The following is a 25,457-nucleotide window of genomic DNA, read 5'->3' on the forward strand; positions in this document are numbered from 1 at the left end:
AGCATCTCTTCAAAAAGTGTGAATTTGAAAGTCTTCTTATCTACGTATTGTAACTATTGATAGAAGAGTAGATAGGAAAATAAAAGACAAGGCAGAGAGGTATGATATAGTTTAGTATACAGGTGAATATATATTTATATCCATTTCTATATAAATTCCTCATGGAGTAATAGTTAGCATTAATTAGTTAATGATTAATCACTAATTAATTTAAAACATTTGTTGAATGCATAATGTAGGTATTTTGCCATATTCTGAACTTTAATACACAGTGATAAGTACTATATATCTATATATGTAACATGTATGTAAACATAATATGTTATGTATTTATTTGTATGTGTGTATCTATATATATAGAGAGAGAGAGAGCGAGCTAAATATAATGTGTGTGTGTATATGTCAACACACACACATTATTTTTAGCTCTTTCTATATATATGTCCCAATAAAGCCAATGCGGTCAAAGAGAAGCATTTAATTCTGCCTGGGAAGACTGGAAATGATAATTGATCTAGACTTTAAAGCACCAGTAGATATTTATTATACAGAGGAAATAGCAAAGTTAAAGGGTTTGAACAAAACTCCATGCTGTGATTCAGCGTTATCAGTTTCAGCACAGTGTTGTGGGAACTGGAAAGAGGCTGCAGAGATAGACTAAAGCCAATTATGAAGAGCTTTAAATTCCATATGCAGGGTTTGTAACATTTTCAAGCTTACAGAAAAGTTGCAAGACTAATAATAAAATAATACAAATAATCGTAGCCCTATATTTACCAAGATTCATCTATTGTTAACACCTTTCCCCATGTGTCAGTCATTTGTTCTCCCTTTCTCTCCTTCTCCCTATATAACTTTTTTCTTGAAATATGTCAGAGTATGTTATATACATCATGTTCTTTTACCTTAAATGTGTCTTTGTATGTTACCCAGGAATAGGAACATTCTTTTACATACTTCAATGCAGTAGCAGCTTCAGTAACTTTAAAATTAACACAATGTCTTTCATCTAATCTACTGCTCATATTCTAGTTTTTTCACTTGGCCTAATAATGTCCTTTATAGCGTTTATTTATCTACAGTACAAGATTCAATCGAGGATCAGATATTTCATTTAGTTACATTTTTAAAATGCATTTATTTAGAATATTTCCACAGCCCTATACCATCTCTTTTACTTTTTGAAAACATTTTTTCAGTTTTATATATAACATAAAATTTACCATCTTAAAAAATCTTAAATGTACAGTTGAGTTATAATACATAGACTCATATTGTTTGAAACCATCACCACCATCCATTTCCAGAATTCATTTCATCTTGCAAAACTGAAATTCTATACCCAGTAAACAATGATTCCCCACTCCCTTCTCCCTCCAGGCCCTGACAACCACCTGTTAGTTTCTATCTCTATGATTTGGACTATTCCAGGTACCTCATGTAAGTGGATTCATCCAGTACTTGTCTTTTTGTGATTTTCATATTTCACTTAGGATAAAGTCCCCAAGGTTTTTTCATGTTGTAGCATATGCCAGAATCGCCTTCCTTTTTAAGGTTGAATAGTATTCCATTGCATGTATAGGCTGCATTTTGCTTATCCGGTCATTTGTAGATGGATACTGGGTTGTTTTTATTAGCTACTGAGAATAACGCTGCTGTGAACATGGATATAAAAATACCTCTTAAAGCCTGGGTAACATGGCAAGACCCCATCTATAAAAAAAAACCACAAAAATTAGCCAGGCTTTGTGTCACACACCGTTGGTCCCAGCTACTCAGGAGGCTGAGGTAGGAAGATCACCTGAGCCCAGGAGGTTGAGGCTGCGAGAACTATGATTGCACCACTGCCCTCTAGCCTGGGCAATAGAGTAAAATCCTGAAAGAAAAACAACAACAACAACAACAAATATCTCTTCAAGACCCTACTTTCAGTTCTTTGGGGTATATATCCAGAAGTAGAATTTCTGAATCATATTGTAATTCTACTTTTAATTTTTGGAGGAACTTCCATACTATTTTTAATAACAGCTGTCCCATTTTACATTCTCACCAATAATGCAAAGGGTTCCAATGTCTCCATAGCATTGCCAAAACTTGATATTTTCATAGTTATATTTTTTCATAGTAGCATCGTAATAAGTGTGAGGTGGTATCTCATTGTAGTTTCTTTTTCTCATATGACATTGAAATTTTTTTTTTTTTTTTTTTTTTTGAGACAGAGTCTCGCTGTGTTGCCCTGGCTGGAGTACAGTGGTGCCATCTCCGCTCACTGCAAGCTCCGCCTCCCGGGTTCACACCATTCTCCTGCCTCAGCCTCCCGAGTAGCTGGGACTACAGGCACCCACCACCACGCCTGGCTAATTTTTTTGTCTTTTTAGTAGAGACGGGGTTTCACCGTGTTAGCCAGGATGGTCTTGATCTCCTGACCTCATGATCCACCTGCCTCAGCCTCCCACAGTGCTGGGATTCCAGGCGTGAGGCACCACGCCCAGCCGAAATTTTTTTAAAGTCTTCCCATTTCTTCTACTGTTTTAATAAAATAGTCCTCATTTTGGGTTTGTCTAATTTTTCCTCTTGATTAGGTACAGGTTACATATTTCTGCCTGAACCACTATCTATATAATGCTCAGGGTTTCATTCTTTATATGAATCAGTGAAAATTAAAAGATTTTAAGCATGAAAACATCCTTATCAGGTATCCATTTTAGAAAAGTGGCTTCAATGTTGAAGCACAAGATGGACAATAATGATGAAGACCAATTGGAGGGCTACTGCAATAGTCTAGGCAAGAGAGATTGGCAGTGAGGATATGGTGGCAGTGCTGATTAGCATGAGTCCTATAACTCTGGATAATCCATGGCTTAGACGGTATCACAGGTTCTGCTTATTCATACTGAGTTGGAGCTAAGTACAGGATTCCCAAATCATAAAAATTGTTCATTCTCTAGCTATTCCTTTATGAAGAAAGCCTTTTACCTTTTGTGCTTGCTAGTACCCACACTCTTACCAGAATCAGCAGAGATCTGATGTCATTCATCTACTCATGACCTCAATGCCACCAGACCCTTTGCAGCTCATTTGTTCCTCCCTCAATAAGGACTCCTTTAGGGTCTTTCCTTCTGAGTTCTATACAGCAATCTGACATGAGTCATTTGTGCACCTTGAAAGAAAGTCTGTGGCAATGATTTTTTAGTTAATGTTTGCTCAAATCTACATATGTTTTCTAAGCTTTTATTTCTAGATATGGATGGGAAAGATTTTATTCCCATTAAAAAAAAGATATTGCAGTGCATCAGCAGGAAGTAGGGAAACTCTTATGGGGAAATAAAATTATGTATTTATGTATAATGCAGACTGAAGACCTCATTCTGGTAACTGAGTTGGTCAGAAAAAAGATAATTTAAATTTGGAGGAAGGAAAAAGATAGGCTTATTTGCCTCCTCTTTCAATGTAAGCATATGTTTTACTCTTCCTCCTTCCCCAGCCTTCATTCACTCCTCAGGCTGAGGACACCTAGATGTATATTGCTTGTTTTTTTTTTTTTTTTAACTGTATTTAGATAACACGTAATTATAATTCTACAGCATAGATTAACTGTGTATTGCTGTTTTTTTAAACCTGTATTTAGATAACATTTAATTATAATTTTACAGCACAGACTCCTGGTTTTAAATTTTTGGGATAGTACATTGCTCCCTATATTAATATCTGTGCTAATTCATAAATTATTGGACTACAAATTGCATCACTAGAGCATATACTCAGGGTGAATAAAATAACTACTTTCTTCAGAGTATTGCCCTGTAGCTCAGTATCCTTTGGTGGAAAACAGCAACCCAAAGGAAAATATTTGTCACAAGACTGGTGAGGAAGAGAATCTATGACGACATTCTTCAAGCCTGCTTAGCTACTTGGACCTCTCAGCAAGTTTTAGCAACTGTTCTTTACATCACTACGATGTTGTATGTCCTCAGAAGGGACAAAGGGAAAGGAACAAAGAGCAACAGAACAAAAGAAGCCTTGTGTCTCCAGAGGTTGTTGATCTATTTCTTTTTAAAGTGCCAAAGTATTTAAGTCTGAGGAAAACCTCAGTAGAAATGAAGGTTTCATGCCCAGCACCTTGGTTAAAAACAGGTGCTGTTACTACCAGTTTGATGAGGGATACTTGATAGAAAAGCAAAGCCACTGGAAGAGCAAATCCCAATCCTGATATTTAGAGGAAAAGGAAGTATTGGTTTCCCTTTTTTGCTAGTCTAAGTAAAGTCAGAGAAACTAGCCTTTTTTTTTTTGTATATGAAAACGCCTTTGCTGCTGCGGATGTCAGAAAATAACTGAGGGAGAAAGGGAATAACAAAAAAAATCTATTTTGTCACCTTAAGGGCAAAAGATATTTTCTTTAAGCTTAAATTCACCTAAAATATACATAATATTTGAGGTGTAATATTGCGGAACTCCTTACAGCTGAAACCACTAGCTATTCACTAACAGATCTTTCTGGTAGAGCAACAGATGTAGCATCTACAGCCTTTGAATCCCAGCTGTGCATTCAGATACTTGAATGGACTGTATTTAATTTATTCTAAATCCATATCATGATTCGCTTCTACTTGAGGCAAACAGAAGAGTGTAAGGAAAACCTAGCATACTTCTGTTCCTTGGTCTTAGTTTTCTAGCTGAAGTGTCAGAGAAGAGCAAAGCAATTTTGAGTCACCACTTGCTTTTCCTGTAGACAGGTGGGCAGGGAAGCTTACATTTCAGCAGCATGTGTGGCTGTCTGTGGTAATTTTGCTGGATCAGTACATATCCTTAACATAAAATTTAACAAGCAATTGAGTTGCTTGTATTTATTTTTTTGAAATATCTTTTATACCACACCAAGTGGAGAGAAAAAGAAGACCACAAAAGCTATTGAACTGCAGCTCATTCAATGAATGTATGAAAGAAAATTACACAGAGAGAGTAAGAAGGTGTATTGTGAAGTTTGGCTTCTTTTTGAACCTGAAGAAAATTCTGGCATTAAGCCAAATGTTTTTCAGATGAGTGTTCCATTGAACTTAGATTATATATTTTTTAAATTCAAGTGTTATTTGTAAATATAATATGCACACATGCTAAAGAAATGGAAAGCAAATAATAGTATAAAGAGAAAAAGAAATTTATAATCTCATATTCATTGTTACATTTTATTGTATTTTTCTCAGATGTTTTCTAAGTATTTTACATGAATGATAGTAGTATGTGTATAATTCATAATTATGCTTTTTTCCTTCCACTCTGCTAACTTTATACATATTTTGTCATATCAAAAACTTTTTCAACTCATAATTTGAGACAGAATCACATCTGTGTAATCCTTGATAGATTTACATATACACCATAAATAACCTAATCTCTATTTTATGGGCAAAGGCAATAGAGTATACAGAAATAAAGGTGGTGTGGAGGGGTCAATATATGACTTACTAGTTCCTGTTTTTTCAAGGGTAGTAAACCATCGTTTGAAATGTTAGAAAATCAGTTAACAACTACCGAGTAGTTCAAATTGGTTATAAACTGGCATTCCTTAAAAACATGTGATTATGCTTCTTGATCACACCTGTAAAAGAGGGAAGACGTTGACTCTTAATAAAGGATTTTGTGAAAATGTATCTTTTAAGATCAATCTTATTATTCAGTTTTAATTGTTCTGGATGAATTTCAAGCATCCGTGAGTTTTAATCCAAGTGATTCTAATGAGCAGCTAGGAATGAGAAACAATGGGTTAGAGACAGAAGAGCAGGTGACATGGAACACACACACACACGCACACACACGCACACACACATCATATTCAATCTGAAATTTGAGAAATTTAGAATTATACCATATTAACTAAAAACTCAAGGGCAATAATGCTAAGGATTTTTGCCCGAGGTCACTATGTCAGTGACAAAACCTGGATTAGAATCCTATCATTTGATTCCCATTGCTACCAGAATGTGTGGCCACTCAAATATCATGTCCCACAGATGTTATTATTAATTACTTATTTCCACTAAGTGAGAAATTAATTAATTAATAATGACATCTGTGGGACATGGCATTTAATTTTGAATAAATTAGCCCATAGTCCACAATCTGAAGTTCTAGAATACTTTCCATTTTCAGATTGTGGACTATGGGCTAATTTATTCAAAACATCATTTTTATTAAAATATTGTTCCTCTTTTAATCTTTTAATGAAGATTAGCTCCACTTTTTCCTAAATCTGCATTTTCTGTTTTAAAAAATTTCCACAATATAAAATTTATTATAAGCAGTTTATCTGCACAATATGTTCCGTGTCCAGCGCTTTATTTATTGAACAGGAAATCCATTCTATAAAGACACAGAGAGCCTGCAGTGCAGACACAGGAGGTACTTTTGTTCTGCTCTTCTTTTTATCCTCTCTCCCAGTGTGTTTTTCGCCTTCATGCTTCCACAGACTTTGGCATACATCCTGAATGCAAAATGAGACAATCCTTTAAACATTGTTATAACGATCGTGTAGGAGTTATGAAATTTGGGAAACAATGAGTCTTTTAGATATAAGTTGATTTAATAGTATTCTCAGTTGTATAATAGGTTAAATTCATGGAAACTATACTGATCCTTCATTTTTCCATCACAAGCTTAGTGAATGTCTATAATATGCAAAGCATAAATTGCTTCCGAGTGGTATCATAATTGAAATTGCAAATGTTACCGTTTTGCCACTATGCATAGCTTACCTTTTATTTATATAATTGACTTTTATTATTTGTAAAATATTTACCAAACAAAATAAATGCTGATGTGTACCACTATTCTGAGCTATCACCATAAAACATACCAAAGAGATAATCGTCTTGATCCAAGGCCCAGTGTGATTTTTTTTTTTTTTTAGTAGTAGTAATTGTTTGTACTAAGCGCTCTTTCTGTGTTGAGCCAGTTTCACTTTGGAGCAGCAGTGTATAATTGCAGGATCATGAAATAGAATGAAAATAGACACCCAGATTAACAAAAGGTTTTCAGTGACAGGTCTATTGGCCCACATAGAGATTGAACACTGATTTTGGCCTCATCATCACAATTCAACTGAGACAGCCAGTAGGAAAAAAAAGTGTAGTCTGAAACATTGGAAGCAATGAGAAGTGTACAAAGAACATAGAATTTTTAAGGATATTAATATAAATAAGACCTCCATTTAGAAATTAGAATGGCTTTATTAAAGGAAGCATAGAAAAGATTTCCATTGAAGAATGTTAAAATACATATGTGTAGTATTTATATCATTGTCATATTTATAGTATATATGACTTTTTTTTAAGATATGGAATATGTTTCTTTCCTTTTTTAAATCTTTGTAGTTAGCTTTGTGCAGTGGCAGTATCGTAGCCAATGAGGTTTATCCGAAGCGCGATTATTGCTAATTGAAAACTAAATCTTTGTAGTTTACTTACATAGGCATATTTGTGACTGTGTATGTAATTCTTCCATTTTGGGGACTATTGTTATAATGAACACATTACCAGAGCTCATATTTTGTTTATTCTCAACCTTTTTTCTTTCATTACAGTGTATGAACTAAGCAATGGACAAAACTCTAGATGCTGGACAGCATAGCAGAGGGGAAATTAACTTACACACTTCTTCCCTCTCCCATCTCCCTTCCAACTGCTAGTCACTAGTCACCTTTGTATTGTGAACGACTTGCAGTTTTGATGAGGAGTTTAGGAAGGGTACTTGGCATTATTAAGTGGCACTATGGTGACTAGAACAAGCACCAGTCTCTCAAAGTCTATCCTGAGCTGTCCCACACATTAGTTCTCTTTATACTGGGTAAATCAGTCACCTTCTTTATGCTAGTTCTTTTCAATGTAAAAAAAAAGGAATTTACCTAATTTATAATATCTTTTCCAGCCCTCAAATATCAATTCTAAATTTAAAATAGGAAGCTAAAAATTAATTTCTAAAAATTGTTAATAAACTTGTGTTTGTTGAGATTTCACTCTTATCCATTTACACATTAAGGACTTAAACATATATGATCTCATTTAAATACAAGTAGGAAAACATAGAGGATCACCCTATGTAAGTAGATTTTTCTAGCTTTCTTAGCAAATTGGGAAATGAGAGTTGTTCTGCAAACAACAATCTGATAGCTAATGGCATTTATCTACATTTCTGTGTGTTTATATATTCTGTTCTCTCTTCTTTTTTGTTTATTTAACAATGTCAATGACTGTGTTTTTTTTTACATGTTCAATGTACAGATAATGACCTGTAGCATAATAAACATTTGTTGAACTGTTACAGATGAGGGAGAAAGGATGAAAATATTTAAGAATTTTTCTCATGACCACACAGATGGCTATGATACTTTATTCTCAGGATCTTAAGCCATTGTATTCTAGTTTTCTGGTCTTCCAATGAATTACCATTATTTACTATGTTGAATTTTTAATCCACAAATAATACTGTAAAAATTCTATCAAATATTCTGGACATTTTTGAGCCATAAAGCCATCTTACCATCTTCTTCCCTTTTGTGTGGAATTTTTGATCATGTGTGTTTCTGATAAAGATTCAGAGACATTGCATTCACATGAACATGTTTATCAGTGTATCTGAAGAAATACTAAGCACTGGAGATGCAGTTTAATAAGATCCACTAATATAATAATAATAATGTGTTGGCATTTACTGAACAGTTCTCTGTGCCAGCAACCATTCTGAGTGTTTTGCTCATTGTTCTCGTTTAATAATATTGAATATTAATATATAACTGTTAGTATAGATATGATGAAAATACAGTATGCCGTATATGCAAATATAATAACAATATACAATAGCACTCTGAAGGTGATATCAAGATCCCAATATTACAGGTGAGAAACTGACTTCAGAGAGCTAAAGTGCATAATTAAAGTCAACAATGGTGAGTAGCAGAGCTAGAATTTAAACCCAGGCCCCAGATTTCTACTTAGCTAAGTCTACCATGCTATCTGTATGGAGAGTTTTGTGAGAATTATTGCTCTTCAGATTTGCTTATTCTATTAAATCACAATAAGATAACTTAATGATTGTATAGTTAGATGTGGTACTTTGATTAAGGCACTTTTACAAAGGCAAATAATAATTTCAAGTGAAATTAAATTTGCACACTCAACTTTTTAAAAAATACCTTATAAATGTGAAATTTGCTCACTGATAAATAGTTAACTTGAGAGAGAATTGTCATTTGTAAAATATTGGTCATAAATTTTGTTAAAAGAAACAGTTTTTCTATTTTTTTTCCAACTTGAAATCGCCCTTCAATTGATTCATAAATCAATTAATTACCATTGAGAGACCTGAGGGCAGCAGGAAATTGGGTCCAAGTTAAAAAGAAAAAAGAGGCAATTTGTTTTAAGTCTAGAAGTTTAATGTTCAATTGAAGTTTAATCAGAAGTGATCCATTGTTTGAAAAGTAGAACATCAATGTCTTTTTAATTTCACTGTCATTAAATTAGGACTGGAGAAAATCGAGATAACTGATTATTCTCAAATGAAAATTAAGGAAAGATGCTATCAGAAATCAACTAAAAGCATATTTTCTTTCTTTATATTTTAATTTACAAAGGAAATAGTCTGTTCTATGTTGGAGGTTGGATAATTTGTTGAAGTGAAGCATGGTATATAGTCTTCAGAGACACTCATTGAGAGACAAACTAAGCCATACATGTTTTATCCACTGGGGCTAAAATAGTGGCTTTCTTTAACAACTATTCATTCAGTTAAATGGAATTTTTGCTTTAGTGAATTGCAGAATTAATTTAGTGCCTTTATTGATTTCCAGTTGAATAAATGAAAAGAATGATTAAAATAAATGGATTTAGCTAAAGGAAAACATTGCCCTAAATTACAGATATTCCAGAAATATTCTTAGCCTTTGAAATTAAATCTATCTGTACTCCCTAGAAATACATAGAAAAATAAAGACTTGCATTTAGCCCTTGGTAAGTAGTAGCAGGAATAGAAATATATACATAATTTATCCAGCGACATCTGACTGTATTAATATGAAGTCATTCATATGTTGCCAAATGAAATCCCATGGGGTGAGCTACAGGAGAAGAGGGAAGGACAGTTGGGACAGATTTAAACAACCATTCATTTCTAGAATGGTGTCTGTCTTATTTCTGCACAATTTTACATATTGGGCTTAATATTTGACAAAAAGATTTTCAAATAACAATGAGTAGTACAGTAAGTGATAAAATCTAGATAAGCTGTTGTTCCTGGTTTCATTTCCCTGGGTGTTTTCACCCAGATTATGAAACATGAGGTCATGATATAAAGGTACTCTCTTCCTATTCTTGGCCAAAGGACCTTGAAGGGCTATAATATCTTTCTCAGGATTTGACGAATGTATTTGTTTCTTCTTAACCCGATGTTTAGATTCTTTTGCCCTTAACTTTAAGACCTTTAAATCCCCCATTTCTTTCAGAGTTGATTAAATACAGCCCTGAGAAAAGCCCTGACTGACTGTTAAACAGAAAGCTTTTCAAGAGGCTAACAGGCTCTGACCTCAAAAAAAAATGCTGTTGTTAAATTGACTTGAGGCTTTACCAGAGAGACCAGGTTTTATTAATACTAAGACTGCATTAAAGTTTGGATTTCTTATGATTGAGACAATTTCTCCTCCTCACCACCCCAAATTTGAGAATATCATTTTTTCTTTTCCTACCTTGCAATTTATTTGTGTACGTTCTGCATTCTCAATGATACATAAAATGTAATTTTGTATGTTAATAATTTTATTCATTGTGTTACCATGACGCTGGGTGTGGCACCTCTACCCCAGGGATAGCCGGGATCCACCACTGAGAGCTGAATCACTTACAACAAAATATGTTAGCAGAGTTGGTAAACAGCTAGGGCTCTGAGACTTTGGCGTGTCTTTCCCTCATCCATAATGACTCCTCCTGGACCCTCCTCCAGGACTTCAGATGACTGGGTGTTAAATAGTTATAGAATCATCTCTTGGTGTGTCTGATATGCAGAACATCTATCTCCCCAAAGAAAGGAGAGAAGCTAAAGAGAAAAGAGCTCTCAGTTAACCATTTAATGACTTAACGTTATGGTACTAATTCCTTTACTAAACAGTCCAAACTCCATGTGAAAAGAAAGATATCTACTTGCTTACTAGTTAGTGAAATGATCCAAAATATTTTGGAAAGTTATATTTTCATATGTTCTGTCTTAAAAATTGAAATACGATAAAGTAGTGCATAGACTTAAAATTACTGAAGAATGGGCAAGCGAAGATTTTAAATTACAACATTATGCATCGTAGTGTATTTTATTCATGTCTGAAATTTATATGAAATGAACATACATTTTATTTTTTCTCACCTGAGATGATTCTCAACAATCATTACTACATTATAATTTAGCAGGAATAGAAATGCATAATTTATCCAGGGACATCTGACTGTATTAAATATAAAGTCAATCATATGTTTCATTTGGCTATTGTCTATAGTATAGACAATGTATTTTCAAATGGTTAAGAGCACAGATAATGCCTGTGATGATTTCCTGGTTTTACTGCTTGGGCAAGATATTCGAACTCACTGTACCTCAGTTTCTTCATCTATAAAATTGGGATAATAATAACATTTACTTCACAGGATTTTTCTGAGGGTTAATTGAGCTACTATTACAATGTATTTTAGCATCATTTGCCATTATTCATAATACATAAAATATTTTTTCAATTCATGTTATAGAATACAAGGATTGACATAATCTCCCATACATTAGGATATATCCATCTATAGATATTCTCTTTGGGGAATATCTGTAGGTAAACATATACCTTTTACACATCAGTGATTCTCAAGAGATATACAATATCCCACAATATACTGCTCTCACAAAGTAGGCATGCCAGAATCTGTCTCTTTTCTTTTTCCCAAGACGGAGTCTTGCTCCGTCACCCAGGTTGGAATGCAGTGGCACAATCTCAGCTCACCGCAACCTCCACCTCCGGGGTTCAAGCAATTCTCCTGCCTCATCCTCCTGAGTAGCTGAGATTACAGGTGCGAGCCACCATACCTGGTTAACTTTTGTATTTTTAGTAGAGACCAGGTTTCACCATGTTGGCCAGGCTGGTCTCGAACTCTTGAACTCATGATCTGCCCGCCTCGGCCTCCCAAAGTGCTGAGATGATAGGCGTGAGCCACCACCCTCGGCCTGGCGTGCCAGAATCTCTTAAACAATCTAGATATTTAGTATTTATTTTTGAATGACACTTGGCTTGAAAATGTTTAGAAGCTCTAGCTTAAATTATAATACATATTTTATGATCAGATTATTTTTAAGTGTTGATAGCATTGTGACATTCTAGCAGGTAGTATTTAGCATATATATTGAAAACTCTGTTAAGCCTCCTGCCTATCAGAAAATCTGTATTATCTTGACATTTTGCTGTGTAGCTATTATATCTATAGAAAAGTGATTCAGGTTAGTGTTTTGTTTATTGTTTTGAAGTCATGAAACTGCCTACTAACCTTCTAAGGCTATTTATTATTGAAGGAGAAGAATATTTGGATATAGTGTTTTGAATATGAGTGCATGCATAAAACTCAGCTGATCAAGGTTGAAATTTCAGTCCTGACACAAGATATGCAACTATAAAAAATTAAATAAATTTGCTGAAAATCAATTTTTTTAATTTCTAAAACTGGCATGACAAAGGCCTAAAAGATTTAATAAGTACTTCTTAGATATTAATTAATTCTTTAGGACAAATGAAATGAATCATAAAACAGAAATTCTGAGATTGACCTAGAATGCCAACTGTAAATTTACCAAGTAAGCAGGTTAGGACAAAACAAGTAAACAACAAAACAGCAATCTACTCTCAATTTATTTCATGAGAGAAGAAATATTTTAATATCAAAAGACAGCTGAAAACACAACTTCAGGAAAAAGGACAGCTCTTTGATTAGAATATATTTAGTTTTATGAAAAAATAACTTTCTGCATTATTATTATCATTGTCATTTTGTTATGCACTGAGCTACAGCACCACCCTATGAATTGGCATTTAATGACCACTGAATTAACTCAGAATAAGTGAGTCCTATGCTTGCATTAAAATTCTACCAATGAGTAGATGTATTTCATTAGGCAGATTTCTTCACCCTTGTAAGCCTCTTTCCTTAATCTGCATATTGGGAAAAATAATAAATACCTTTCTGAAAAAAATTGTTTGATGAATAAATAGTTCTAGACATTATTTTTAAGAATTTTACATATATTGTGTCCTGAAATCCCTATGATGATTTTATGAGAGATAAAATTATTGGTATCCATTTTATAGATGAGAAAACTGAGGCACAGATAATTTAAGCAACTTGCCATAAAGCAAATATTCAATAAATATTGCTAAATCTTTAATAATATTTATTAGTATTGGCCGGGCATGATGGCTCATATCTGTAATCCCAGCACCTTGGGGGGCCAAGGTAGGAGGATCACTGGAAGTCAGGAGTTCAAGGCCAGCCTGACCATCATGGTGAAGCCTCGTCTCTACTAAAAACACAAAAATCAGCCAGGCGTGTGGCACGCACCTGTAGTCCCAGCTACTTGGGAGGCTGAGGCAGGAGAATCACTTGAACTCAGGATGCGGTGGGTGCAGTGAGCCCAGATTGCACCACTGCACTCCAGCCTGGGTGACAGAGGGAGACTCTGTCTCAAAAAATATATATATATATGTATAATATATATGTATATAAAATACGTATAATATATATTTATATTATTACATATGATTATGTATGTTATATAGTATATATTATATAGCATGTTACTTATAATATATATTATATCATATATACATAATTATAATACATATTTATATATTACATATACTGTAATATGTATTATATATAATATGATATATTTTAGTATATGTTATTTATAGTCATTTTAATAAAAGGAATATTTATCGTATATATCACAGATAAGTTTGATATATTATATAAATGATATATGTTTTATATAATATAAATGTGTCTATATTTTATTACAAGCAATCATATTCAAAATATATACATTTAATATTTACATTTTAGAATTATTGTATGTATTCAACACATCCATTTATATTTAATTATAAATATAATAAATATGAATATAAATAAATGTTTAAATAAATCTAAATAAATATAATAAATAACATTATTATTGCTATCACTATTAAATCAGTAGTACTCACGTTTAAAAAATCTACATATATTTACATTATTCTGAATATAAACATTAGGTTTCTGGAGCAGAGATCAGAGTCATTACTTACATCTCATTTTTTTGCTCTTTCTAGAGTGAGGGAATAAGAGCCAGCTAGAAGAGATTGCATGCCATAGTACAATGTAGGAACTCTGAAAATATGAATCTGGGAGTGTATATGTGACACAGAATTCCTTCAGTGCCACTTCGCAAGCTGGAAATCTCTGCAATGCCGTGACCTCTGCCTGGGGCCTGGGGACCCCTGGGCTTGCTCCACCTGCTCAACCCAGCAGGCTGCACTCCCTTGTGCCAACTTGGATCCCAGACCCTCTGCGATTCCATGTTCAGTTTGTGGGTTTCTGTACCCCCAATATTGGGGTAATACAAGGGCTGTTGCAGGGTTTGAGGAGGCCCTGCATCCTCAAGTTATTGCCCATGGCTTCTAGCCCTTTCGTAGCTTCTGCTTTTAAGGGATATTGTCTTTGGTTAGGGAGGAGGTGGGACCCCTAAGGTAGATCTGGATCAGTATGGCGGTTGCGGTTCAGCGAATTTTCCCTTGAGTTGCCCAAGCTTCTGGATTAATGTCTGAGTCCACCAAAGGGAGAAGAAGAATCTGTCCTGGAGTCATGAGGATGGTAGTTCCCATAGGAACTAAAATATCCCCACCTAGCAGAGGAGTTGGGCTTTCAAACATGATTAAAAAGGCGTGAGTAAAACAAGAGGTCTCCTCAACTACAACTAAGGCATTGGGAAAAATATCAGGTTAAAGGCTTTCCTGAGATGTCACTCACAGTCATGCTAAGGGAGGAGGGGAGGCCTGGATTGAAGAGGAGAACAGAAATGGTTACTCTGGAGGAAGTCCACCTTCCTTCCTTCGACCTCCAGAATCACCTGGGACTCCTGGATGGTAATGGTGGTCTGAACCATTGGAGCTAGGGAGAGGAGTGCTGGGACCCATTTGGTCCTGCTGGACCATTTGAAAGACTGGCTCTGGACCCTGTGACTTGTATCTCGGGAACAGTCCACCCTCCAGTTGTCCCCATCACAGATTGGACAGGGTGGAGGCGGCTTCCTCATGCTGCCTGGGCAGTCCTTCCTAAAGTGCCTTGGCTTGACACATTTGTAGCAGTTACCAGGTGCATCTCAGGGATTCTGGGGTTTGTAAGCCTGCCAGGCAGCCATTAGAGCCTCTGTCTTTTTCTTGCATCTATTTTCCCTCTCTTGGGCCTCCTCCCAACCCTATTCTAAAAGACTAACGTGGCCACTTTCAGAGCACTATCTGGTCCTATGGCCTGTTTCTGTAGCTTCCTCCTGATATCAAGGGCCACCTGAGTAATAAACTTGTACTTTAGGATTAAGTGTCCTTCAACTGAATCAGGAGCTAGAGAAGCTTTACCAAGGCCTCTCTCAGCCCTTCTGGGAAGGCAGTGAGATTCTCATCTGATCTCTGGTCTGTTGTGGATAGTTTGGAGTAATTGAGAGGCTTAGTTCTAGTCTTACGTAAGCCCTCCAGTATGCACACCTGAAAGTGTTTCCTCTTCCATTCTCCCATTTCATCATCGGGGTCCCATGTAGGGTCCTCCAATGGTACTGCTGTTCTTCCAATTGGATAAGGCTCATCCCCTTCCTTGGCACTATATGAGATAAAAAACTCATCCCCAAACTTCTCTGCTGCTTGCAGGGCAACCTCCTTCTCAGCAGTAGTCAGGGTTTGATTCAAAAGTAACATATTGTCCTTTCAGGAAATTTCAAATACTTGAGTTAAATTCTGGAAAGCCTCTATATACCTGTCACGGTTGTCTGAAAACTTGCCAGGAACCCCCTTAATTTGGCTTACGTCCTGTAGAGAAAAGGGGACCTGGACTTTAATGGGGACATATTCACAAGGCATCTCTTGTAGGAGCAGAAGTGAGGTCAGGACCTGCCTGAAACGAGGATTTCTAGGATCAGACAAGCTTGAGAGACAACCTGGGTAGGGAGAAAGGGGTGGACTAGGAGGAGTAGGACCAAAGGGAACTGATTCCCCTGCTGGAGACATCTCTGCAGTTTGCTTCCCTATTCCCTTGGGATTGCCCTTTGCAGCTTATAACTTGACCAAACCCTTATGCAAAGGAATATAAAGCATTTTTTTCCTCTAGGGTCTGAGAGTCAAAGGAGTTCTAGTGATTCAGCATGCACTTGAGGAGTGCAGGCTGAAGAAGGTTGCTTATTCATCTGGAAAGAGAGGGGAGAAAGGCATCCCTTAGTCGCCTTCCTCCTTTTGGAGTGACACAGGATGGAGGGAGAGAGAGAAAAGGTGTCCCTTTTCTTCTCTTTTTTTCCCTATATTACCAGGGTCCCAGCGCCCTTGCAAGTGCTGCCCAGGAATGTGAGTGCGAATTCCACCCATGAAGAGGGAAGGCCTAGTAAGTAGAGATAGTCACACTTACCTACACCGTGCCCTGGCTTTCCGCTGTTGGTAACCTTTGGGTTCCGTATACCTCATCTATACCATGGATGTGCACGAGTTCTCCACCCATGAAGTGGGAAGACCGAGTCAGAAGGGATAGTCATGCTCACCTGGGCTGTGCCCTAGCCTTCTACTGTTGACTGCCTCTGGATCCCTCAGATCTGATTTTCTTTTAGGGCTTCAGACTGAACCTTGGAATAGAATCTGGGACAAAAAGGCGCCTCTGGAGGGTGTATGGAGCCATTAAATTTGTGCCAAGTGGCCCTTGCTAAATTGCAGCCAACAACTGGTGGAGCATCTCCTCCATTGCTTCCCTATCACAAGCAGTATGCTAAAGTGAAGCTGTTGAACCAGATTCTCCTCAGACAAAAAAAAAGAGAGAAAGAGAGAAAGAAAGAAAGGAAGGAAGGAAGGAAGGAAGGAAGGAAGGAGAAGGAAAGAAAGAAAGAAGGAAGGAAGGAAGAGAAAGAAAAAGTAAGAAAGAAAGAAAAGCAAAGCAAAGAAAGAATGAATCCCAGGAATTGGGGACCTGCACTAACAAGATTGCCTCCCAAAAGGAAAAAAAAATAATCCATTGCATAGAAAACCTTCTTCTAGTATTTGCAGGACTATGTTGATTCCTAACATGGTGGGAAAAAAAAAAAAAACAACTTAAATGCAGAGGAGGGAAGGTGCCTGGGGGAAATAGCCTCTTGCTCTATGCTAATGGATTTTTTCAACAAGGGAAAGAAAACTCTCAATCATTATATTCTCCTTGCTTCTAAGAATAGACAGAAACCACATTGTTCTGAATTACACTCCTGATGACTGAGCCAAGTGCACATTCTACTCAGTTATATTGTCTCTGTGGTTTGCAACGACACCCTTAACATTGTATATAAGAACACATAGGAGCCCTAACAGCCATAAAGGAAAGAAAGAAAATGTGATAGGAAAGACTGGAGGTCCTAGTGCTGACACCATAATGGACTGTTGGGGACTGAAGCCAGTCCAGGAACCTTCAAGTAATGCCAAGGTGTAGCTTGGGCCAGGACCTTATTCTGATCCCACGTGATGGCTAGACCTCTATGAAGCCAAACTGGATTGGAAAAAAGCCAACATGCCCAACCCCCCGAGGGGTGATGGAGAATTGACAAAGTCCTCCCCAGCAAGCCTCTCCTCCAAGTCTGAAAAATGGCAGGCACGCTACTCACTCTTAACTGGCTTACAGGGGCGAGAATTTTTATCTCTTTTTGGAAAAAAAAAAAAATTGGAATTAAAAAGTAATAGGTTTGCACTTACCCTTCCACCAATCCCAGATGAGCCCCCAGAAATGACATAGGATTCCTTTGGTGCCACTTTGCCAGCCAGAAATCTCTGTGGCTGCTGCAACCTCTACCTGGGACCTCACTTGGGCCCACCAGGCTCACTTCGCCCACTCGACCTGGCAGGCTGCACTCAGCTCTTGCTCGCTGGGATTCCGCCCCTGCCATGGCTCCACGCTTAGCACGCAGCTGAGCTGGGTGTGCTGCAACCAGCATCCACGTTGGGCGCCAGCGTCAAGATGAGGGGAATGCAATGGCACCCGAAAACTAAAAGAGATGCCAGCAATCACAGATCCCTAAGGGGTGTTACAGCTATAGCTCGGGGAGTCCCGGGGTCTCGGCCCCCAGAAGTTTTGCTGCTCTTTCTCCCATAGTCCACTGCTTGGGAGCATATTACAAGCCCATTTATTCCTGCCACTCACAGATCGGCAGGCAGAAAGGAGTAACACTCAGTGGCTTTTTCACTCCCGCAATTCGGCGAGCAGGAGGGGGTGTGTTACAGCTCTCTTGTTCCTGCTGCCTGCAGCTCAGCGAACAGGGGCATGTCACAGCTCTCTTGTTCTTACCACCTGGAACGGGTACATGTTGCCGCTCTCTTCGTGCCTGCACATGTTGCCGCTCTTTTCGTGCCTGCAATCTGGCAGGTTACAGGTTCTTGTCCTGTGACCAAGAGAAATGAGGTATGCGGACACAGGATAGCAAATAAGGAAGAATAGAAGTTTGAGTGAAAGAAGGAAAGTTTTCAGCTGCAAAAGGCGACCTGAAGTGGGTAGCCCTCAGCTTCAAGAGGGGACCCAAAAGCGGGTAAGTCTGTGAGGCTGTCTAGGGTTTTTATAGGTTTGGAATAAGGAGGCTCTGACCGGAGGTATTTTTGGAAAAGGCAACATTCAGTTGGTTAAAAAGCATTATTCGGAAACGACCAGTCAGGAAAGAGTGGGCAAACAGGAACAGAAGCTCTCACTCCGTCACGGATTCTACGTAAAACCGGCAGCTCGGTTTTCCGGCTTTAAACGGTCTTTGGCTTGAAGGTCAGGTTTCACTGGGGACCCGTTCCTGTCTGTCTAGGAATTTGTCTGTCTCCTGCGCTATCATACACATGTCACCATCACCCATTCCCCCTCCTAAGAGAGGGAGAGAAAGTTAATTTTCCTAAGGCAACAAATTCTACTTAGGAATAAAGGGAAAGGTCTGGGAGTACCTACCCTTTGCAATGTAATGTTACCTATGTTAGGCATTGTTATGAATGTAATATTTCCATGGTTCTGGGTTTTATACCCCTTTCAAGTGTAAACATATACCTCCATCTAGGTAATTCTCTGGGTTTCTCCATCTATTCAGCCATTATTTAATTACCAAGGCTTGGCCTCTAATACAGTTTCCGGTAAAATTTCCTCAGAAAATTCTCCATGCGGAAATACGGTTGGCCCTACATTTCTGCAAGTTCTGCATCCACAGATTCAACCAAGATTGGATCTAAAATACTTTCAAAAACACAATAGAACAATACTACAATAAGAAAAATACTATAAATAAAAAATATAACAACTATTTACATAGTATTTACAATGTATTAAGTCTTATAAGTAATCTAGAGATGATACAAAATATACTAGAGTGTGTGTGTAGATTATATGCAAATACTATACCATTTTATGTAAGGGAGTTGAGCATCTGTTTTGGTGCCCACAGGAGTTCTAGAACAAATTTCCCAAGTATATCAAAGGATAACTGTACCTAAGTAGACACTGGCTGACAGTACAGTACACAGGCACTCAGCAAATTGTAGCTACAGAAATTGCTATTATTGAACTCATAGTTTTCTAGATAACAGCTTCTTGACTTTGTTTCAGTTTCCTATTATTGCTACCACATACTAAAATTTTAAGTTCTTATTTTCATTTGCAATGCCAGAAGAATTAAAGGATAACAATATTATGTATAAATACATTTATTTTATAAATTCTTGAAATTTTCTGATATGTATTAACACTTATCAAATTAATAAAATATTTTTCTTTAGAACTGCACATATCCTTTGCCTTCCTTTTCTGTAGCTCCTAAGAAAGACTTCATTGATTTCATTAATAAAAAGGCATTTATATTTAATACTCATCTAGTTGAGCCTTGGAAAGTGTAGAGAAACCAGAAAGGGAGGTCAAAGAATTCTGTGCCTCTATTCATTCAACAAGTGCCGTAAAACAGCTCAACTATCACTTAATTGATATACGTGACGAATTTTATCATGAATTTTAAAATCTTAAAACGAACTCTAGTGTATTCAGTTTCGTTTCACAGGCTTGAACACTTCTTATTTTTGTTTTGCAATTTCTATAGTGTTCTCTGTATTATCTGGAACTGACTGTCAACCTGGCTTTATCTGAGTACTTGACATGCAGGGTTATGGAGAGTAAGTAGCAGTAGATTGACGACGAAGATGTGAATTCCAGTCCAGATTCTGCCACTTACTAGCAGAATCTAGTCAGATAAAGCTTCTGAATTTCAGTCTTCTCATCCATAAAGTGAAGGTGATTGACAACAGTTTACTAATCTTAAATAGTTGGGACTATACCTGTATCCCTTATCTCATGTTCCCCATAAATATGGGCACATACTATATATGAATAAAAATTAAAACTTAAACCACAATGTGTATTAAAGCATCACATAAAACCTTAAAACACTCAGTAAATTTTAAGAAATGATGGGATTAAGGAGACAGCAGACAAGGTTTTAGTAATCTTAAACAGATGAGTAGGAGAGCAGATAAAAATTACCCATACCTGCAATAAAATAGAAGACATAACCTAGATCCCATTAAAAAGGTGATAAGAAGATGTTGTGAACAATTTGAAAACAATATATTGGACAATTTAGATGAAATAGACAAATTATTTGAAAAACAGAACTTAATTAAAACTGACCTAAAAAGAAGGGCAAGAAGGATCTCTTTAGGATAATAGAAATGTCCCATAGAAAGGTTGTTTTACGTTGAGGGATAATTTATGCATAAAAAAATGCATAAATCTTAATTTTTAAGTTAGATATCTTTTGACAATTGTATATCCATGTAAACACCATCCAAATCTAGAAAACCGAATTTATTTGTAGCTAACCCATAACTATTTAGTTAATACAGCTTTTATTTGTGCCTTACCTAAAGGTTCTTTTATAAATGTAAAATACTTCCATTTTATAGTTAGTCCTGAACAGAGGAGAAGGAAGACAAATGTCTGAACTGGAATTAAAATCTTGAGGTCTGCTCTTAGAAGCACTCTTCCAAGCTTTAGTTCAGAAATCTTATTGAAGGCATGGGGATTATAGTGTGATAGTTGTTGGATCTTAAAGTGAACTTAGAACCTGTTAATGTGAACTTATATGGAAGAAGGATATGTGAAAATAAAATTAAATTATGGATCTTGAGATAACTGGGTGGGCTCAAAATCCTATGACAAGTGTTTCTCTAACAGAGAGAAGAGATGACAGATAGAGGAGGTGGTCATGTGAAGAACAAAGCAGAAAGAAGAGCTACACAGCTACAACTAAATAATATTTACAGCCACCAGAATCTGGAAGAGTTAAGGAAGGAATCTCATAAAGCCTCAGGGAATGAATAGAGGGGTGCAGAGCCATAGGTGATATCAATATGGACAGCAAAACAAAAATGCTCCTGAGTTCTCAAACATCTTTCTAGCTCATAAGCTGATGGTTTGTTTTTTGTTTCTTGGCGTTTTTTTGTTTGTTTGTTTTTGAGGCATAAGCTAAAGGGTATCTAGGTTTCAGATAACTCTCTTGAGGTGTAAATGAAAAAAAAAATACACAGGGAATATTATTATTTTTTTCCTTCCTGATGTGAAATCATGCTGCATTGGTCACTTGCACTGTGTTAGGTACAAACAAGTTGTTTGCCTTTTCCTCTTCTTTTGCTAGAAATAAACAAACGAAAACAAAACAGAATTCTCAAGAAAGTTGAAGGGAGAGGATGTAAAAAGAGATCTCTCTGTGACTCATATGCAGAGTTAATAATAAACTCTGTATAGTTACTGCTATGAGATCTTAGAATTTGTGGGGCTGATAAATAGGATCTTGGAAGTGGCCTCAGTCATTTTTTTAAGTCAACTTATTAATACAACCAAACTTTCCAGAGTTCCTCCTCATTTTCCTGATCTTTATGCCAGACATTCCTAAATGGATTCTTCTTTTTAGAATAACAGCACAGATTTGGAAGCATTAACAAATACTAATCACTTATTTTACTGCATGGAATATTTAATATTTATTAAGAAAGCTTAATAGCTTGGCGATATCTATTCACTCAATTATTTACCTTCAAAATATTAATTAAAGGCATTCATTATTAGATGCCTTAATTTGTGAAATACTCTGCTAAGTGAACCTTTTATTATTTCTTTGTAGTTGTCCTTTAGCTTTTCCAACCTCCTGATCTGACTAAAAAGTGTGATGTAACAAAAAATTACGTAAACATAAATTATGTAGCTAATGACACATGGTATGTATAATACATAGGATAAGTACACATTCAGTGATTAAGGCAAAAGATATCAGAGATTAGCTTGAAGAAAGCCTAAAATATGAATACTGCATCAAATGGATGTATTTTATTGGCATATAAGAACTTTAAGACTGAAAACATATCTGGATTAATTGAAATGATTCACATTTTTAAGATTGGCATTATAATTAATTACCCCCACCTCAAAAGTACTTTACAAGAAATAGCAAAATGTTTAGGAAGCACAGACACATGTATGTACACACTGACACACAGAGTTGATTTCTAGCATCGAGTTCCTAACAACTATTTTGTGACATTGTAGAATTATTAATCACTTGTTTTTTCATGTTTTACTTTGTATATTTGGGTAGAATTAACATTTCTAATATCTCTTCCAAGTCTAAAATAAGGATACTAAATCAACCTAGATAGAAGTACAGAAGTGCCTTGAATATTTTGAATAAAGCTAATGCTAGGACCTGAAAAGTGTAATATAAAAACGAGTGTATTCAGAAAACAATGTGCTAATATTGTTCCACATTTGACCCTTGGATAGTTACAGTTCTATTTAAACTCCACATAACCTCAGGTCTATTTTACTTTGAATAGTGATGAGAATGTCATGTTTCAAACATTATGGGTGTTATTACCTTTTTCCTCTGTCCAGCGTATTATGAATGTCAGTGCCATTCAAAGCTTGCTTGCAAGTGTTTTAATTTCACATATTAAATTTAAGTATTGATGTGTATGCCTTCTGATTGCAGAAAAGAGAATATTGCAATGCGAGAAGTGCACATGGGACTTTTTAGATTTAATTTTATTTAGTCTAAGCAAGGAGTTTTTGATGATATCATTTAAACTGTGCGTAGTGTTTTTGCTGCATGTTGAGAGTAGATAGATGAAGGCTTGCAGGAAATTGGAATAAAAGGTGGGGAAATGATCTTTGTTAACATAAACACACAGAATCTTGGGATATTAATCACTTTGGCCATAGAGAAGTTTCATGATATAGGAATGAAAGTGTCGGCCGTAGCCTCAAATAAACCTGGGTTTGAACCCGAGGTCTACCATTTATTCATGGTATGATCTTGGGCTAGCGCTGGAACTCACTGGTTCTCATTTGTAAAGAGGGAGTAATAATAGTTTCTGCCTGATAGGTATGTCTGTTGATTAAACTAGGTGACATATGGAGAGTACTTATCCCAGTGCTGATACATGGAAAGCACTATAGTTATTCTATTCATCTCAGGCCATGTATCTTTGAGTGCCAACTAAAGAGAAGGCATTGATTTTGTTCATTTAATTGCTACTAACCCTATGTGACAAAATGTTTTAAATTATTCTTTCTGAAAAACATGCAAAAGGGTTCATTTTGGTGTGGTTGTGAGTTGAAGTTTGGTTAACTCACTCTAGCCTAGAATGTAATTACACATGACCCTGGAATATTTTCTTCTCCTCCATGTATGTGCTAACACTGAATTTCACCATATTTACATCCCACCCTCATTTCAGTGTCTTTGTTTCTATTGGTTCATCTACTTACAATGGTTTTTCTGGGTAACTTTATTGAACTCTGAATTCCTTTTCCTGAAGACTATGACCCATTAATTTATCCCTCATATTTTTTGTATTTTTAATACAAATACTCTTCTGGGTACTTTCTCTAGCATTGAAAATATGTCCATGTCAATGTTATCTTAAATACAGTGAATACACTTTTTGTTGATTCTTTAACTTTCTTTAGCTAGTAATCTATTTTTTAACTTTTCAAGATAATCTTAATTTCTAGAAAGAATAATGTAGTTCATAGTTGATGTCTCACTTCTCCTCATATTTACTCCTCACCTGATTTTATTCTGTATCCTGTTCTCGCAACTCCACAGAATCTTCTCTGACAAAAGAAACCAGGTATCTCCGAAATGCCCCCTCTAAGGCATAATTTTCACCGTAATCTTATTGTATTTCCTTGCTTTCTTTCCTGTATTGATTATTTATTCCCAGTCTCTACTTTTTGACTCCCATGGAATAACAGTTACATGCTTCTCCATATACTTTTCTGACAATTCCATCTATAACATCTTCATGAGTTTTGCTTTTATCTTTCCACCTCTTAAGTATTGGTGCCACTCAGAGATCTTACCACTCAGAGATCTGTTCTACACTCAGTATACTTCTAAGTCTACGTGTGTTTCACATTACATTTTAACTACCATGTAAATGTTTCTCAAATTATTGTTATATCTCCAGTTCAGAATTTGGTCTTGAACTTCAGACCAATATAGTCACACACCATCTAGATGATTAGATGATTTTTTGAATGTCCCACAAACATTTCACCTCAAATATTTAAGATTTTCTGTCCTAAACTGTCACATTTCTATAATTGCTAAATTAATTAAATATTAATCTATTTATTCTATCAAACAAGATGGGACATAACAAGTTGATGTGTCTGATCATTTTAATTTATACATATTCTGGGATGGGTAGTTAGATCAGGAGAATGAAATCCAGCAATCAACAGAAACCTTAAGGCAATTTAGAGTCCTTTTTAATCTTTAAGGAAAATCCAATAAACACTTGAAAAACAAAATCGATAAAGAGTTTTAAATGTTTCTTTTTTGATTTGCCGCAGGGTCCAAGTTTTCTCTCCGAGGCCCGTTTTTCTACACGAGCAACAAAAATTGAAGAAATGGATCCCTCTTTCAACCTTCATGAAACCATTACTAAGGTAGGGGAGAAATGCATTCAAAAATAGGTGAGAAATATTTGTTCTTCTTTATTGGTAGATGGAGCAAAGGAACATAACCAATCAAGAGCAATCCGTATATTTTCATTTGTAGAATATATAAGAAAGGATTTTAGTATATCCTATTATTTTACTAAGGAATAAATAATTCATTCAAGATCA

The 25,457-nt window shown here is 36.0% G+C and overlaps 1 protein-coding gene and 1 pseudogene across 21 annotated transcripts in view; both read left to right on the plus strand.

The window, feature by feature from the left end:
• Positions 1-25,457, plus strand: part of NAALADL2 (N-acetylated alpha-linked acidic dipeptidase like 2) — a 1,369,567-nt gene that overhangs the window by 1,161,128 nt on the left and 182,982 nt on the right. For all 21 annotated transcript variants that reach the window (XM_017006077.3, XM_047447876.1, XM_017006075.3 and 18 more), the window contains one exon: positions 25,182-25,277. In XM_017006077.3, coding sequence (XP_016861566.1) covers positions 25,182-25,277 — 96 coding nt within the window. The remainder of the gene's footprint in view (positions 1-25,181; positions 25,278-25,457) is intronic.
• On the plus strand, positions 7,370-7,504 carry RNU4-91P (RNA, U4 small nuclear 91, pseudogene; annotated as a pseudogene).

The sequence above is a fragment of the Homo sapiens genome, chromosome 3 (assembly GCF_000001405.40).
Source record: "Homo sapiens chromosome 3, GRCh38.p14 Primary Assembly".
Taxonomy (NCBI): Eukaryota; Metazoa; Chordata; class Mammalia; order Primates; family Hominidae; genus Homo; species Homo sapiens.